Source organism: Homo sapiens, chromosome 5 (assembly GCF_000001405.40).
Source record: "Homo sapiens chromosome 5, GRCh38.p14 Primary Assembly".
Taxonomy (NCBI): domain Eukaryota; kingdom Metazoa; phylum Chordata; class Mammalia; order Primates; family Hominidae; genus Homo; species Homo sapiens.
The window spans coordinates 27,080,764-27,100,705 of NC_000005.10; the positions used below are offsets into that span (position 1 = coordinate 27,080,764).

The 19,942-nt window shown below is 35.2% G+C and overlaps 1 annotated feature.

Annotated features, from left to right (window-relative positions):
- Positions 13,393–13,892: an enhancer, noted in NCBI's record as "H3K4me1 hESC enhancer chr5:27094263-27094762 (GRCh37/hg19 assembly coordinates)". NCBI's record gives its function as "activates a minimal SCP1, AML or CMV promoter by ChIP-STARR-seq in naive H9 embryonic stem cells {active_cell/tissue: H9 hESC(naive)}" and the evidence as "EXISTENCE:reporter gene assay evidence [ECO:0000049][PMID:30033119]".

Consider the following 19,942-nt stretch of genomic DNA (forward strand, 5'->3'; position numbering starts at 1 on the left):
CCTCATCTCCACCTGAGCCCACCTCAGCCTGGATCTTATTATCTATATTGCTATCAGTATTTTGGAAAAAGCCATTTAACAAGTCTCTAGGAAGTTCCAAACTTTCCCACATTTTCCTGTCTTCTGAACCCTCCAAACTGTTCCAACCTCTGCCTGTTACCCAGTTCCAAAGTCGCTTCCACATTTTGGGGTATCTTTTGAGCAATGCTTCACTCTACTGGTACCAATTTACTATATTAGCCTGTATTTACACTGCTGATAATAACATACCTAAGACTGAGAAGAAAAAGAGGTTTAATTGGACTTACATTTCCACATGGGTGGGAAGGCCTCAGAATCATGGAAGGAGGCAAAAGGCACTTCTTAAGTTGCAGCAGCAAGAGAAAATGAGAAAGAAGCCCAAGTAGAAACCCCTGATAAACCCACCAGATCTAGTGAAATTTATTCACTATCATGAGACTAGCATGGGAAAGACTTGCCCCCATGATTCAGTTACCTCCCCCTGGGTCCTTCGTGGGAATTCTGGGAGATACAATTCAAGTTGAGATTTCGGTGGGGACACAGGCAAACCATATCACATACCATCTCACACCAATCAGAATGACTATTATTAAAGGGTCAAAAAATTACAGATGCTGGTGAGGTTGTGGGGAAAAGCATACTCTTACACACTGTTGGTGGGAGTGTAAATTAGTACAACCATTGTGGAAAGCAGCATGGCGATTCCTCAAAGAGCTAAAAGCAGTACTACCATTTGACCCAGCAATGCCATTAGTAGGTACATACCTAGAGGAATATAAAGCATTCTACCATAAAGATGCACGCACATGAATGTTCACTGCAGCACTGTTCACAATAGCAAAGACATGGAATCAATCTAAATGCTCATTAATGACAGACTAGATAACGAAAATATGGCACACATACACCATGGAATATTACGTAGCCATAGAAAAGAATGAGATCATGTCTTTTGCAGGAACATGGATGGAGCTGGAGGCTATAATCCTTAGCAAACTAATGCAGAAACAGAAAACCAAATACCACATGTTCTCACTTATAAGTGGGAGCTAAATGAGAATAACTTATGAACCCAAAGAAGTAAACAACAGACACAGGGGTCTACTTGAGGAGGGAGTGTGAGAGGAGGGAGAACAGGAAAGAAAATTATTGAGTACTGGGCTTAATACCTGGGTGATGTAATAATATGTACAACAAACCCCTATGTCACATGTTTATATATGTAACAAACCTTCTCGTGTACCCACAAATCTAAAAGAAAATTTTTAAATTAAATAAACAAATAAGTTATGATAGAAAAAAGAACTATCTAGAGTATTATCTGGTATTGAAGAATATCTTTCTCTTTTAGACCTATCCTGGCATCTAAGTAACTATACCTAAAAATCCATTACATAAGTTTTGCTCCCAATCTTCTTAAATAACTCATCAACATAAGCATTAAGAGAAAAAATTAGTGATGATTAAATTCAGGCTGAGTTTGTGGTTCAAGCCTTGATAAGTTCTACCACTTGGGTGTACTGAGAAAACAAAGCTATAATTTACCAAGAGCATTACAGAATTAACGTGGGTTATTCCTAAGGCCACCTCTGATTAGAAGTCAAGGAAAAATACACAATTTAATGATTACACTCTTACTGTTTGCAGGAACTGCTGGCCTCATGGCAAGTCACAGATTGGACTATGGTCTCTGGGCTGTAGAGCTATCACAAGATTTTTTTTGATTTGCAAGAGGTTAATTCTAATGAATGATATGAGCCAACTTCAGGATGAGGACTATTTTTTAAATTGCATTACCATCTTATTAAAAAAAAAGGTTGTTTCTTATACATTTCTGTGACAAGTGCAAAAACCTGATTCTCCATTATGCAGGGCTAAATTAACGATAAAGTTTCAGGAAATTTGAAACCAACTAGCAAGTTCCTTCATTGTTAAAACTGTATTAGGATTACTGGCCTAAGTTTCTCATATTTCTTATATTCATACCCAATGTCAAGTATAAATTATAATTTAGAACAAAAAGAAGGACAAGTTAAATAAAATACCATTCTTTTCCTCAATATGCAGTATTTTATAGACAGAATTATCAATGCCTATTTTCAATGAGAAGCCTACTCACGAATACCTAGAAGTCCAATGAAAGGTTTAGAGAGGATTGAAGAAAAAAAATATAAGCATTTGTTACCTAAAGTTAGAATTTTTTATATCCTAAGTATTTTACTAAGCATCAGGAAACCTAATCCTAGTTTCATGACTAACAGAATACATGCATTTGCATCTAACCTTAAAATGTTTCTTTGTTGTATAGAAAGTTTCAATAATAAAACCTTATTTTGCTTTAAAATATGTAAATTGATGCAAACTTGCAGATCCAGAGCCTGAAAAATATTTCTGAATCTGACTCCAAAAATATTAGATAGTCAGCAAGTAATTATTTAAATTAAAAATGGAAACGCCAACTCATCTTCCTTGAATTGCATTCTTCCAAATACTGCTTTGTGAGTGCGCAAAAGGCTTCTATTAATACATTTTTTATTTCAACTTTAGCTTGTGTATGTAAAACTTAATCATAAGGTTGATATGTACTAGGGGATATTAGAATAATTAAAATAAAGGCTTTAAACTGCACTTTCTTATGAAAAATTACACAGCTTTCTACATGAAGGGCTGCAACAAGTTACCCACAAAGCAATCAAATAGAGGTAGGATTGATTGTGAGGAGCAAAAACTTTCAAGGCTCAACATTGATGGACAGACACACCTAGCTTGTATTGTGGCTTTCCTTAATACTCATGGGTCTTCATCAAATTGCATAATGCTTCTAAATTTCAACTTGCTTTTTTCATAAAATGGTTATTAGAATTTTTTTCAGCTGAGTCAATGTGATTATTTTCATATGTTGCTTAGCACAGTATCTTGTACATAATAGCTATGCAACAATTGCAATTATTTTTCATATTATTTTCTATTTTGTATATAGTCATTTCAAAAAAGAGTGCTTTTACTTTAAGAGCCATTATGCGAATGCATACTTCTTTTATCAAATTTTGGGGGAATGTATTTAAAGAATAATATCAGGCTTGTGTGGTAGAGCCACAGCACACTCCGCACAATTAATTAACTCAAAAGTTCATTCTTCAGACCCTGGCCTGATCCCAGGTCATCCTTGTTTTTATCTTTCTGAACTGGCTTGGTTTCCTTAACAGCTTGTTCCCTTTCTATGAATGAGTCCAAAATATTCTGCTACAAAAAAACAGAGAAGAAACAAAAAAATCCTTTTCTGCAGCTAATATCCACTAGATTTCATTTTCAGGAACCACTCCAGGTTCAGCTTTCTGCTTTCTATACTATGTTACTCTGATTTAGCCACAGTCATGCCTGGATTCTTCCTTTCTGACGTGGCCTCTTCAAATGCATATTACTGCCTCTTGTATCAAGCCTCAGTTCCAAGATTTGCACTTAAAAAGAGTCAGTTCTCCCCGCCGCCTTTTAGGCCAACTCTAGCTACATGGAAAAAATAAACATCTGATTTCCAGAGAAGGTTGTTCAAAAATCCTTCATAATTTTCCAAAACGTAGTCTTTTCTCTTTTCCTTCAGCCTTATTATTGGCTATTCATTCTATTCTCGCTCTCCCGCCTTTGTATCTAAAAAGACTGAATAGAATTCACAATGACAGCTAAAGCAAAGGAGTAATCACTTTAATTCCTCATGTTAAACGTAATTCTTAGTGGAGATACCACAAGATTAGATTCTTAAAATGTCAAGAAAAGATAGCCATTTGACAAAAACAGTAGGGAATTCTAATCAAAAAGATCATCAATTGAAAAAAAAAACATGAATGCATGAAACAAAAGCATATTTGGGAAATTCCTAGTATGTATAGCTCAGTTTGCTGACCGCATGGCTAAGAAAATAAACAATAATAAAATAAAAGACTGGAAATATAGGTAGGGCCTAGATCATGGAGGATCTTTTATGCTATGCATAATGATTAGAAGTCTATCTTATTGACAAGAATACTGAGCAGCAAAACACTATTTTCAAACTTGTGTTTTAGGAAAATTCTGGTTGGAATAGATTTTTATCTTAGAAAAAAACATTCAACCTTGAACCTAGGAGGCGGAGCTTGCAGTCAGCCAAGGTAGCGCCATTGCACTGCAGCCTGGGTGACAAGAGTGGAGACTGCGTCCCACAAAAAAGAAAAAAACATTCAACCTCATTTCCTTTTTCACTCCTGACAGTAAAACCGTATTACTTTCCTTTCCTTTTCCATCGCTTCTACCATCATACTTCTAAATCTAACAAGTTTCATTTAGATGTGAAGATATAGAAATAAAATGGCTTGGCCTGAAATAGTAGTTGTGAAAGCAATGCTTTATTTTCCAAAACAGGCTATAAATTCATAATTATCACTGAAACTCAAAAAATCCTTATGGGGTTGGCAAGCTAAGTGGCATTATTTACATTTGCAGATGAAAATGAGAGGCCTAGAAAGGTCAATTTATTATTGAAAGTTATACTATAAAATGTGGAGCCTGGGCAGTCTCTTACACGTAACTAAAAATGGCAGAGCAGGAACTTCTGTCTCTGCAAACTACGGGCTTTCTCTTTAAACATGACGAAAAATGCTAGACAAGATAAAAAGATAAAAACTAACGGATAGCAAATATAAATGTTTATGAGTAGGGGCATGGGTGGTGTAGGGTTGATTGATACACAAAGGCCTTTGTGAGGACTCGTCTTCATGGAAGTTTAATTATTGCAAGTACTTTTTTAAGAAAGCATGACAGGAACAATAAACCTTAAACTCAACAATGATTGCTACCTAGAAAAATATGCTTGAAATATTGTCTTTTTACTATATTAGAAAAGTTGATTCAATACAAAATAAGCTCCTAATGTAGAAGTGATCATTAAAAAGGTAAAAAAGTGAGGTTGGCCGGGCGTGTTGGCTCACGCCTGTAATCCCAGCACTTTGGGAGGCCGAGGCGGGCGGATCACGAGGTCAGGAGATCGAGACCATCCTGGCTAACACGGTGAAACCCAGTCTCTATTAAACACACACACACACACACACACACACACACACACACACACAAAGTTAGCCGGGCGTGGTGGCGGGCGCCTGTAGTCCCAGCTACTCGGGAGGCTGAGGCAGGAGAATGGCGTGAACCCAGGAGGTGGAGCTTGCAGTGAGCTGAGATCATGCCCCTGCAATCCAGCCTGGGCGACGAGCCAGACTCCGTCTCAAAAAAAAAAAAAAAAAAAAAAAGTGAAGTTAAGGGCCTTCTTTATGATAATGAATACAAGGGAAGAAAAACAAAAGCAAAACATAGTATCAAGGACTGTGATAGTTGGACTATTTACATTTTTTTCTCCTGAAAATTTCTTAAAAACCAACTTGGTTCCATTATAATTTCCCTAATTTAAGAACCATTTCTGGAATCTAGCAATTGTCATAAACACAAAGAATCACAAGTAGCCATTCCATTTTCCAGGACAGCCATCTGGTACCAGAGTTTGCTGCCTGTAATCAAGAATAGTTTAACCCAGGCAACTGGTTGATGCTGTTACAAATTCCTTTACAGAAACACTAACAAATCTTACTCTGCCTAATTACCTGTCTACTGATAACATCATCAGTTACATGATATCCTGTTCCTGAACTGAGGTTAGAACCAAACTTCACAGATGACACAGGGACAAAGTATCCCCAATACTCTTTAAGAAACCCTGTGTCCTGAGTGGTGCAAGCTCACTGGTCTGCGAGCGATAGGAAGTTAATACAAAGTAGGAAACAAGGACAATATGAAAGTCAAATGGAATCATAACAAGCTGGAAAACATACTCCAAAAGTTTATTTCTGCAAAATAAACTTTTTGATGATAAAGCAAAAGATGAAACAGAAATTCTGATTGCTATACAAATTCTTCCAAATTTACATTTTAATGCCTTTTCAATACTGGCCTAACAAAATATTTCTTGAAAGTGTAGAATTTCTCTTCTTCCTGTTGAACCTCGGTTATTTTTTAGGTACTCTGAGCCTGAAACCAGCTAGCTAAACCGTCTAGAACAATGTGTCAAGTTGACTCAATTAAGGACAAAATAAAAATAAATTTTCATGGAAATAGAGAGTTGTATTCACATGAATGCCAAAATAATGCCTGATGAATAACAGTATTACAGTGAATACAAATGAAATCATAATTTGTCATTTACTTAATTTGTGCTATTAAATGCTTGATAAGAATGTCAGAAGTGTTTTTAAAATGCTCATTAAAATGGTTTATTATAATGATGAGGTAGAATTACTATTAAAGGATTAATATGAATCAAGCATGTATTGGGAAAGGATTGAAAGGAAAAATGCAGAGAAAAAAGAAAATGTAACCCCAAATATAGATCATGAATACATATGTTCTGAGAATGTCATAGAAGAATTATGCAGCATTTAAAAGCACAAAATTTTTGAAAAAATAAAATGTATACCTTAAGCACTCTTTAATATAAATGCATACCTAAATGTAAGAAATAAATGCTAATAAATACTTTCATATTTTCAAGATTTCATGGTTAAGGTATATAAATTACACGTTATATTTCAATGACATATGAGTTGATATAATTATAATTCTTAAAATATACTTTACCATGTAAGAAATTCATATGCATTTCTGAAACTTTATTATTGGCTTTTGTGGACATTTTATGCTTAACAACGTAAAGACAGTTATCCTTGCAATATTTTTAAAACATAGTTTATAATATAGACATAGTGAACATCCTTTATTTATATAAATACTGTTTATTTGTAATACTCAATTTCCATTGCATTTGAATTCTATCAGGAAAGTTTTTAGTGTAAAATAATATAGTCTCTAGAATTGAACAGTTTTAGTTTCAGAAGGAATATTCACAAGCAACATCGAAGGAGAAATGAAAAATTATCTGCTGAATTTGGCTCATGTATTTTGAAAAGCAGCTTATATAAGCCAACCCAAAATTCTATCATCTGATGGAATAACAAGCATGTTTTCACACATTGAATGTTTTAATCCTATTTGTCAGTTTGTTAGCTTGCTTTTCCAAATCTCTCATTTAAATTGGCCCACGGAATCTCTGGTTAACTTAAGTCTAGCAAAAAGAAATGAGTCTCTGACACTAGGCTGTTAAAAGGTCAACAAGAGTGACAGCTTCAGCATCTCAATTGCAGATTTTCAGCTAAAAGCCAACTGATGTCAAGATTAAGTCAAAGCCAAGACCTCATCATAACAAACAGATTGTCAAAACAGGAAAGCAGAGCACGGTTTATAATAGGAAGCATAAGAAGCTGGCTTTCTGTAAATTTGAGGGCATGACAGAAATCTGAGGGGCCCTCAAAAACCCAACCTACCACTTTGCCATTGAAACATTAAATCTTGGAGGTTTGTTGATCTTCCATATATAATGAAAAAGAGACAGATGTTTTTGTGTCTGTGGTGGTAGTTTGGGAAGGGGAAATGTTTAACATACATCAGCTTTCAATTACTTTATTAATTTTGACTTTTGTAATAAATATAGAAGTAGTAAAATCAATTAGAAGTAGTAGAAACAAATGAAGTAATTTAGCAATAGATTAGCGCTGAATCAACAAATACGAAATGACACTGATGGTAGGAATGCAAACCAAAGATGAAATTGGCATATGTACATTTTTTTCTCATTTAAAACTTTATTTTGGCAGTTATTCAGGACAGAGATAACTTTAGAAAGAAACTGAAATAAAAGTTGTAAAATTAATAGCAGATATTATTGGAAAGGAGCTTTGGATCAATTTACAGAGCTGTATTGGTATCTTAAAATGATATGATTGCATATTTAAACTTGAAGATATATCCCAAAAACTTGACATAATTTACAATGAGGTATCATTTGCCATCACATATGCACACAATAAAATACAACTGATATATATTGACCGTATACTATGCACCATACTCTCTTCTAGATTTTTGAAATAAATTAGAGAATAAAAAACAAATTCCTGCCTTTATGTTGTGTACATTTTCATAAGCTGGAAGGTGTTAAGGGCTATGTAAAAATATACATGTCGCAATGGGAAATTGGATGTGCGTGTGTGTGTGTGTGCATGCACGTGCATGCTAGCATGGATGCATGAGCATGTATGTGTGTGTTTTTGTGTGTGCTTAGAGACTTGCAATTTTATTTCATTTTACTTTGTTTTATTTATTTATTTATTTATTTATTTATTTATTTATTTATTTTTACATTTTGAGATGGAGTCTTGCTCTGTCTCCCAGGCTGGAATGCAGTGGCCTGATCTCGACTCATTGCAACCTCTGCCTCCCAGTTTCAAGCAATTCTTCTGCTTCAGCCTCCTGTGTAGCTGGGATTACAGGCACACACCACCATGCCCAGCTAATTTATATATGTATATATTTTTAGTAGGAACAGGGTTTCACCATGTTGGTTAGGTTGGTCTCAAACTCCTGACCGTAAGAGATCTGCCCGCCTTGGCCACTCAAAGTGCTGAGAGTATAGGCGTGAGCTACCTTGCCCTGCCAAGAGTTGCAATTTTAAAAATAATACTGTGTTCAAGGCAGGATGAATTGATAAAACATTTTTGCAAAGATCTGAAGAAGACTACCATGAGCATCTTGAATAATAATTTAAAATCATAACATGATTAAATTTAAAATATATAAATAAGAAATATTGATGAAAAAGGGATGGATAAATGGGCAGATACATGTTAAAGCAAATATAATAAAATATTAAATGAGAGGTGGTGGGTATTCACAATAAATTTCTTTCACCTTTACAGAATGTTTAAACATTTTAAATAAAATTTTGGAACAAAAAGCGTAGAAGGATTTTCTCTGTACACACATATTCTAATTTTTACATATCTTCCTTTTCTTTCTTTTTTCTTTCCCAGTCCTTATGCCTCTATTTCTAAAAATTACATATGAAAATTTATTTTAAATTATATTCTGTTTTCTACTATCTTGGCAACCATTAATTTCCATAAATAATGTTTACTTTTCTCACATGACTTTACATTCAGAACTTCACTTCTAAACATTAAGATTTTCTTTAACTTTCCTTGCTAAATTTCAGAGCATGGGGAAACCAGAGGGTAAGCCTCAGATAAAGTCATACAATGAAGTTTAAATATCAAAACAAAACAAAAATAATCTCTAGAAAGGCATCTTTTTTTCAAAAGATGGATAGCAATAGTTGCCTAACTACTCCCAAATTTTGGCCTGATTCCAAGAAATAGAATGACTTAAATATGACAAAGACTAATTGTCAACTATGTATTAAATTACAAGTAGATTTTAAAATTGTAAACTCATAATTGAATTTTATAACATATTGAATAAAATCTCTAAAATTAGAGTACATATAGCTCATACTATCAATTATTATGTGAGTTAAAACAAAAAACCAAGCTTCCTTTTTTAAAAACCTTATTTCTATATGAATGTACTTCTGAAAGAGATTCTAATTAAAGAAAAGAGAGGAATCCTTAATTTCCAAATACTGGCTCCTGTGAGGTCAAAATACCTTATATCCTGTACCAAAAACACAGTAGATACTCACTTGTGTTGAAATACTTAACTAAAGAGATTCCAGCTCAAAATACAGGTCATAGCACCGTATCAAATCCATACATATTCATGTGTTTTTCTTTCGTTATCATATATGTTATGTTATTCTCATGTGGGGAGGCAGTGTCTCCTTCCTAGTTTTCTTATTTTTGTGATTTATTTTTTCTCGCCACCCTCTCTTCCTTCATGTTAGCACAATGAATTTCAGGGATTTTAAGTGGTAGTTTTTTAAGAGAATATGGATACATGATCACATCTTTCATGTCTTAGCTAAACGGCCTTATTCCTTCATTCCCATTGAACTTCAATTTTCTTCTCTGTAAAAGTGGATAATAGCAATGACCCTATGAAATGTTGGGAAGAAGGATACAATAATAGATTCCAGGGATTCTGAAGGGTGGATGATTTTACTGAATTCTATTTATTATCACTTTGCTAGGCACCAATGTGGCATTTTGACAGTTTATTGGGAGATTTAGATTTTTTAGCTTTTTTTTTTATAAATTTATTTAGCATATTTATAATATAATACATTCAGACATTTCAAGTGCTATATTTTCTCAAAGACATTTGTTTTTCCATTATAATTTCTATGTTGCTGTTTACCTCTGGCTAATCATGAGTTCAAACTTTAACAAAACATTTTACGTACCTTATAACCAAAAACTGATTTTTATAATGTTTTATAAAAACACCCCCAAATTTAACAACACACACATTTATAACCCATCAGTATCATCAGCAGCATAAAAATTAATAAATGGCATTAATAATGTCATTTTTATCAAAATGGTTGAACTTCTTTGATCACTTCCAATTTTTAAGGTAATATTACACATTGTTAATTATAAAAACAAAGATAAACTTTAAATAACAGACTGACATTTTGAACATGTTTAACTTCATGTAAAATGGTGTTCATAGATATAGATTTATAGGATAACCAAATCCCTTCTTTGAAATTGCTCTTAGATGAAAAAGCAACTTGGGCAAGGCTTTGTCTCCTCCTCAGGGTGGCCCATATTTAGTTAATAATCTTGATGGAGTTTAAATGCCTGGCCATCGTGCTTCAAAATCCATTCATCCTAGCTCCAAAACTTATCTTTGGACAAGCTAAGTCCTTTATTCCAAGGACATCCAAGTCTTACTCCCCACTCTGTCTAATCTTGCTTCCTTCCCTGAAACAGGCTTTCTTTCTGAGAATGAAGCTGCCTTGGCAAAAATCATAACAGTGGGAAAATTCTGACAGTGAAAAGGATCTGATGTAACCAACTCCATTTTGCTTTCGTCTTGCAAACCGCCCTTGGTCATTCCTGGGCTTGGACCACATTTTCTTTGGGAAAAATTTAATGTATAGTTTAAATGATGATAGCCCTTCCCTTCCATTAAACCACCTTTATAAAACTAGTGAAAGACCACCAGGTTAGGAAGATGAGAGAAGTGAGAATTATGCTAAGATATAGGCATTAAATGATTACCAGCCATTATTCCACAGGTCACATAATTTGCACCTTCCCCAATCACTTCTGCAGATAAAATCACCATTGTAGAACCAAAGACTGGCCTTTTGAGATATCTTTTCAGGCTTTTGCATCTCTGATGACTAGATGGCCCCACCCAGAGTGCTGTGGGCCCCGCTCATAAGTGGACTAAATGCATGAGAACTATTTTCCATATCCTTATGATTGCATCTCCAACCAGTCAGTAACACCCATTCCCTAGCCAGCCCTCTCCCTGGGGAACTATCTTTGCAAAGCCCTAACCTCCAAATTCTGGGGAAGGCTGATTTCAGTAATAATAAATTCCAGTCACCCTTTTAGACAGCTGTCTGTGTATTGAAATCTTTCTCTATTGTAATTTCTTTGTCTTGATACATCAGCTCTATGTGGGAAGCAGGCAAAATAACTCATTGGGCAGTTATAAGAAAACATCTCAACCAGTTGCTTTTCCATTGATCTCAGATCATCAAATTCTATTTTCTGGGGGAACCAAATGTGAATGATTCTTAGAAAAAACAAAAATATGATATTTCTAGGTACTTGAAAAATTATCATTATGCTTTATATGAAAATAGGTAACTACAGTGAATTTCTATTTTACCTACAATATCCAGGCAAGTGCTTTGGCTGTAATTCTAACTCAGCTAGTGCCAGCAGTGTGGTCTTCTATGTTACTATAATTTCTCTAATTTTCTTATATGCATAATGTATTATTCATAGAGCAAACTCATGATATAATGAACTAAATAATGTAAGAAAGCACACTTAATCACTGCACTAACTTAGGTTAAACATTCTGAGTTAGGGCATGTTTTAGTAGATAAACATAGGATACATGCTCATCTTTTAACGACAGCAGTATTCATAGATAAAATTCTATAAATTCTTTGCATTTGAAACACAATCTCAACTTCAATTCCAAAATAAGAACAGAGACATAAATGAGCTTCATATTTATACTTGAATCAACTGAACAACCTCAGCAACCAGTAGGTGGCTTAAGAAAAAACAGTGCTGCTCACTTTGAGATGCAAGAACTTAAAAGTACACTTATGAGATTTATTTTTAATGCTTGTAAGAGTAATGTAGTAAGAAATTCTCATCGTTATGCTGTCAACACTCAATCGTAAGCTGTAATGTCAAAGACCACACAGTTTCTTACAGTTCTATGAAATACAACACAAACCTAATAAATGATAGGAACATCAAAAAACAGGTAATACACACTAAATTCTGGTTGTTTGCAAAACTCAAGTTTTCTCAGAAGAAGAAACAAAAATTACAGGTAAGCGCTTACAGTATTAACTCCTTAACAAAAACCTTACTAAATAATAGCTTCTGGAAAACTTTTGATTTTACATTTTTCCTTTCACACTGTGTAATTCTGTACTCTATTTCACAGAACAATGCTCCACTGAACGCTGTCACTCCCACAAATGGTATGGTAGCTGTCAGTGATTTTCAAAGAAAGCTGAATAATATGTACATATCATATCTTAATGTGTTCAAAACACATGGACCTTTTTGGTGTGAAGAGCAAATACAGAATGTGACCATAAGGTGACACATGGCTCATGCTGTGGGGCCAAACAGCATGAAACCGCAAGCTTCATTAGTGATTCTTCTCATAGCAGCTGGCCAATGGATCATGAAAATGAATCAGGAATATTAGGCTTTTTTTTTTCTTTTTTTCACTTTCTGCATTCAGAAGCAATTTGAACAGTTGGATTCCACATGTTGATGGGTTGTATTTCAACTTTCTGCTTTTTACTTTATACATTTCCATTCTAAAATCATACACCCTAACTCATGCATTTGTTACAGATAACAAACCCATTTGAAGCTCTTAGTTGACTGTCTTCCAGTAAAAATGCATGTTAGGAAATAATGCCTTTCCTTTAAGTTGAAAAAGTCCCTCAATTGTTTTGAAGTAAGCCAAACTTTTCTTATTAAACACAAAATGAGGCCGGGCACAGTGGCTCACACCTGTAATCCCAGCACTTTGGGAGGCCTAGGTGGGCGGATCACGAGGTCAGGAGATCCAGACCATCCTGGCTAACATAGCGAAACCCCGTCTCTACTAAAAATACAAGAAAAAAATTAGCCGGGCGTGGTGGCGGGCGCCTGTAGTCCCAGCTACTCGGGAGGCTGAGGCAAGAGAATGGCGAGAACCCGGGAGGTGGAGCTTGCAGTGAGCCGAGATCACGCCACTGCAGTCCAGCCTGGGTGACAGAACGAGACTCCGTCTCAAAAATAAATAAATAAATAAAAATTAAAAAAAAAATAGCCTGGCGTGTTGGCAGGCGCCTGTAGTCCCAGCTACTCGGGAGACCGAGGCAGGAGAATGGCATGAATCCGGGAGACGCAGCTTGCAGTGTGCCGAGATCGCGCCACTGCACTCCAGCCTGGGCGACAGAGCAAGACTCCGTCTTAAAAACAAACAAAAAAACAAAACAAAACAAAAAAAAGAAATACAAAGTGAGTTCATGTATTGTATTCTCAAAATAATAAAGTAAGACTACAAATCTGAATTTAGACTTAACCTCATTTATTACAGCTGTACTGCTCTTCCCAGACTTCACAAGAGCAAAGAAAGCAGGAATTCAAATTAATTAATTTTCTATCCATAAGAAACAGTTTGTATCACACTATTCAATGCTGGGGATACTGGAGTTTGGATGCATGATGTTTCTGAATGAGCATCCCTTCAACATAATATTCTCCTGATGTGAAAAGAAGAGTACCTATCAAAAAAAGGAAAAAAACCTTGTTCATCCTGAATATTAACTATTCTCACTAAAAGTATCAGCTAAAATTAGTTGGAGATCCATTTTTAAGTAAGTTGAGTCATCAGTGATATCCACTTTATTTTTATATGGAGTGGTCCAATATTACCTAACCCAGCCAACAGTGTTAACTAAATAAATTATTGTAAAATAAAGTCCTATTTTTTTCTTTGAGGGCACTTTTAGCTACCTAAATTTAACCAATTTGCATTCTCAAATCAGCATGATGATTTTGACAAATGATATTAAACTACCTTAGAAAAAGAACTACCCAATCAATTATACAACTGACTAGTTTTGCTTCCACTGTAAGCCAGGGGAAGTAACTTTAAGAGTATCTAGAATTGTTAAAAATTAGTAAGTAGCTGGTAGTCTATTTTATGTGTAGCATAACTTGAGCTTTGGAAATGCCTGTCTAAACATCTAGTAATATATTTCAGAAATAAAAATTAATTGAAAGGCATTATATTTAAAAGTATCAAAAGATTGAAAAATAACACAGGATTGGTACCTATTATTCTAAAGTACTCTGTAATTATACACATCATGTAATCTACCATGTTATGTTCCATCTCTAACCAGGAGACTCACATCATACACTATTTCCTGAGATAATTATCTTATACAATGAAATTTAATTATTTATTTTGCTTGAATAGTCATGACTTAACTTCATTTCTGACAGAGCTAACCTTTTTGCCTACAGGAATTTCTCAGGCTAACTATATAGGACCAGATTTTTCTCATTAAAAATGCCATTGAAATTTCTTAAATTATGAAAGTATAAGCAAGATTAAATATATTAACAATCCTTCTCAAACTTCTTTTATTCAGATTATTTTAGTTCTTTCCCATTTTGTACTGGCATCATATACAATTTTATGTAATATTCCTATATCTTTAATTGTAAAATACCTCTTGTCAAGGTCCATGGTAACTTGCTGTATGCCAAATCTGAAAAACATAAAACTTCTTTTTTTTTTTTTTTTTTTTTTGAGACTGAGTCTCGCTCTGTCGCCCAGGCTGGTGGGAGAAGGCGCGATCTCGGCTCACTGCAACCTCTACCTCCTGGGTTCAAGCGATTTTCCTGCCTCAGCTTCCTTACTCGCTGGGATTACAGGCATGCGCCACCACGCCTGGCTAATTTTTGTATTTTTGGTAGAGACGGGGTTTCGCCATGTTGGCCAGGCTGGTCTCAAACTTCTGACCTCAGGTGATCCACGCACCTCGGCCTCCCGAAGTGCTGGGATTACAGGCGTGAGCAGCCACGCCCAGCCAAAACTTCTTTCATCTCGTGTGAGTATAACTGCCCAAGGGCTTCAGCTTGCCAGCTGCCTGGACAGAGCTGATTCATCAAGACAGGGCAACTGCAATAGAGAAAGAGTAATTCACGCAAAGCAAGCTGTGCGGGACATGGGAGTTTTATTACTACTCAAATCAGTCTCTCCGAACACTCCGGGATCAGAGTTTTTAAGGATAATTTGGTGGGTAGGGAGCCAGTGAATCGGGAGTGCTGATTGGTTGGCTGGGGTATCAAATCACAGGTAGTCAAGCTGTTCTCTTCTGCTGAGTTAGTTCCTTGGTGGGGGCCGCAGAACTGACTGGCAGGTCAAAGTGGAGCCATCTGGCTGTTGGAAATGCAAAAAACCGAAAAGACACCTCAAAAGGCCGATCTTAGGTTCACAATAGTGATGTTAGCTTCAAGAGGAATGAGGAAGTTGCAAATCTTACGACCTCCAGAATAATAGCTGGTAATATTTAGAATTCCAGCCCCTCTCATTTTGACTTGGTGGCTCGTGACCTTTCATTTGTTTTTCAAGAACAGCTTAGCCTTTTGGGAAGGGCTATTATATATAAACTATACACTAAATTCCTTCCCAAATCTAGTTTGACCTGTGCCCAGGAATGAACAAGGACAGTTTAGAGGTTACAAGCAAGATGGGGTCAATTAGGTCTAGTAAGTTTCACTGTCATAATTTTCTCAGTTATGATTTTTGCAAAGGTGACTTCAAGAGCTCTGCATAGCACTTAATAGAGATGACATTTTACTTCTTGAAACACACTAACTTCTTGTCTTCCATTGTGACTGACCAGTGGATTCACCTTGTGTGCTGCCTAGACAGAGCCAATTTATAAAGAGAATTGCAACAGAGAAAGTGTAATTCACCCAGAGCTGGCTGTGAGAGAGACCATAGTTTTATTATTACTCAAATCAGTCTTCCCGAATGAGCATTCAGGGAGCAGAGTTTGTAAGGACAACTTGGTGGGTGGGGGGAAGCCGGTGAGCCAGGAATGCTGATTGGTCAGAGATGAAATCATAAGGAGTCAAAGCTGTCTTCTTGCACTGAGTCAGTTCCTGGGTGGGGGCCACAAGATCAGATGAACCAGTTTATTGATCTGGATGGTGCCAGCTCATCCATCAAGTGCAGGGTCCATAAAATATCTCAAGCACTGATCATAGGAACAGTTAAGGAAGGGTCAGAATCTCACAGCCTGCAGTGGCATGACTCCTAAACCATAATTTCTAATCCTGTGGCGAATGTTAGTCCTACAAAGGCAATCTAGTCCCCAGGCAAGAAGGAGGTCTGCCCTGGGAAAGGGCCACTATCATTTTTGCCTTAAACCACAAACTATAAACTAAGTTTCTCTCAAAGTTATTTCAGCCTATGCCCAGGAATGAACAAAGACAGTCTGGAGCTTAGAAGCAAGATGGAGTCAGTTAAGTTAGATCTCTCTCACCGTCTGAGTCACAATCTTGCAAAGGTGATTTCACCATGACACCATAATTTTATCATTTTCTTCCCACCTCATAGTACATTTCCTCTCAGTTACATATGCTGCCTCTAGTTCACTGAGCTAGAGATCCCTAGAGTTTGATGTTACACTGTCCCCATCTATATGTAGATGACTTTGCATTTATATCTTTACCCAGATGGGAGCCTTGAAATCCAGATTCATAAATCCCATGGTCTCCTTGATACCTCCATGTTGTTGTCTCATACATTTCTTAAGATAACAAATCCAAATTTGATTCCTGACTTTACTCCACAACAGCCCTGTTTTTTCTCATCTTAAGGATACCACAGCTCACCCAGTTGCTCAAACCAAGGGGAATACACTTAATTCTTCTTTTCAACTAATTTCTCATATTGTGTTTATTTTGAAGAATTATCAGACTTATCTTCAAAATATAAAGGATAGGTAATCAAAGATTCCTGTTTTTTATTACTGGCGCTTTAATCAAAGTATTGTTTATTATTGTCTGAACTAAATCAATAAACTTCTAATTGATTTCTCGGATTCTGCTATTGCCTCTATATAAATCAATTCGTTCATAGCATATTAATCTAAAAGCTTCTGTGATTAAAATATGCCAATGGCTTTTTCTATCATTAAAATAAAATCCAGGCTTATTTATATTCTTTCAATGTCTTACTTCATCTGACCCCTGAATAGTTCCACACCATTTTGATTAACACCTGCCTGCATGGTTACTATTCTCCAAACACATCTTTCCTTCTGATGCTTAAGCATCTCAAACTCATTCTGCCTTTTCAGATTTGGGAATCTCAAGACCCTCTGCCAGATATTCTCTTAACATATTCCCTGTAGTGAAAGACCCTTGTCCTTCAGAATACAGCTCAAATATCACCTTCTCAGGTGATATCACATTTGCACATTTTATTCTATTTATTATGCAACAATAATTACCATTTTGCATCTTTTTTTTCCTTCTTTCACTTTTTTATTTCCTGTCTCCCCTATTAGAATCTAAGCAGTATCTCAACAAAAGATGTCTTCTTCTCAGCTCTATCCTGAGACCTAGGAGAATATCAGATTACTAAGATGTGTCTAATAAATATTTATTTTTCAACTATATAAATGAATTGTTTTATTATTTCTCTCTTTATACAAAAAAAAATCACCAAATAAGGTTTAGCAGTCCTACATGTTAATTCCTGTTCCAATAATGGCTGTCTTCTCTCATAAATGTGTGTAAATCTCTTCACTTCTCTGTGCCCCAATTTTCCTGGGGGATTGGGCTTAATCACATCTAAGCTCCTTTCCTGTGATTCTATTTCAATGAGCAAAGGCATCTATAAACTATAGTATTAAATTTATTTTATATTTCATTTTATATTTTTTCCCTTAGATTAAGATATAGCAAGGAATCTCATCACCTTGGAAAGTTTGAGGAAATTCACACCTAGATGAGATAGAAATGCAGTGCTTGTATCTTTCATTCTCTGTTTTTCTTTTAGATCAGCTCTTTCCATTTCTGCAGTTTCCTAGATATGTTGATGTTTAAAATCATCCCTGCCATTATAATTCTGAAGTTATTTTTATCTTTTTATTCTATAAAAACTTCTTTATAGTCTCATCCTCCATGGGCCTCCAACTCAACAATTTCAAGGAGCATTTCAATGATTTTGCTTACAAATGTAAGCAGGAACTTTAATTGTCTCCACAAGAAGTAGCTGAAATAGATAAAAGGTTGTGAAAACACCTACCAGAGTGAAAGCGTTTCTATGCAGGGACCTTCTAGCCCTCTAGCAAGGACTCCACTCAGTTGCAAAGCTAAATGCTTCCTTCTCCTTATATCATTTATTTTGTAATCTACGTCTGTGTTAAAAGACTTACAAAAAGAAGGATGGTATTCTGTTTTTTCAAGTTTGCACAACAAGAATGCCCTTTGCCCTTTTTGCACCAGGTTCATTCTTAGTGAATGCACTGCCGGATGGGCTAAGCCTGGGGAAAAGCAATCAAGAATGTTATGATGTTGCTTTAATACAAATTTCTGATTTGGCAGAGCCCTTTTACAACCATTTCTTATTAAAAGTTTGAGAATCAAGAAGCCTTTTCACAGCAAAATCTTTGGGCCAACTATGATTCACTAGCAATAAGCACTTCACATCATGTCTGCAATCATTATCAAGAGACTTGATTTGTACACATGAATGGAAGCTTCTTTTGGTTTTCCAGTTGCCAATTCAGTCATCTCCACTCCCAGATGTTAATCACCATCCTATAGCACCAGATTAAGAAATGGGAGAAAAAATATCCTCATTTACTGTCTGAAGAGGAGTATATGTATATCCTACAGAGATAAAAATTGCATACTAACAAAGTAGAAGACATTTTATTTTATATTTATATCCTGCTTCTAAATTATATGAATTTCCTTAGGAGGACTTGACTTATGTTCCCTTAAAAAATGTATTACAATCACAATTCATTTTTTACTTCGTAGGCTATTTGATCTTTGAAAATATTCTCACACAAATAATAAATACTCTTGGTAACAAAAGAAATGATAAGTTGTAGACACACTTATGTATTGATTTATTCTTCCAGTGCAAGGTCCTGGATTTTTTGTCATAGTTTTTTGTGAACCTTTTCACATTCTTCTCTATAATTACACATACGTACTCACATGCAGTTATTTTGTTTTATTTTCAGTGATATCTTGAGATATATAATGTATAAGCAAATATACATGGTATATAAAAAACTTATAATAGATACATTTTATTTTTTCTACTTAATATTTTTTACTTATATTCTTGCCGATCATTTACAATCCAAATATTTTTTAAATAGGCATATTTCTTATGATGAATGTGCCATAATCATTTATTGTCAGTCCCCTATTTATAAACATTTAAGTGGTTATATACATTTTGCAGTTGCAAACTTTTCCCTAGAGAGTAATGCCCCATGTTTTTTTATTTAGGCTTTTAAAAAGTTTTGTTTTCCTTAGGTACGGGCTGAACTTCTAGTTTTAAAAATAATATACATATTTTAATATTAATACTTTCTCCCATATTTTTTTCTGAATGAATTTTAACAGTAATTGCCAGTAGCCTGCACTTACTCATTGCACGTAAGATTACCATTCTTGGTTGAAGGCAAATAACTCATTGATATTTTAATTTACAATTAATAATGTCAAATTAACTTATTTTTATCAAAACAGTTGATAGCTATATAGTTCTATATACTTCTAGCTGAAGAGGACAC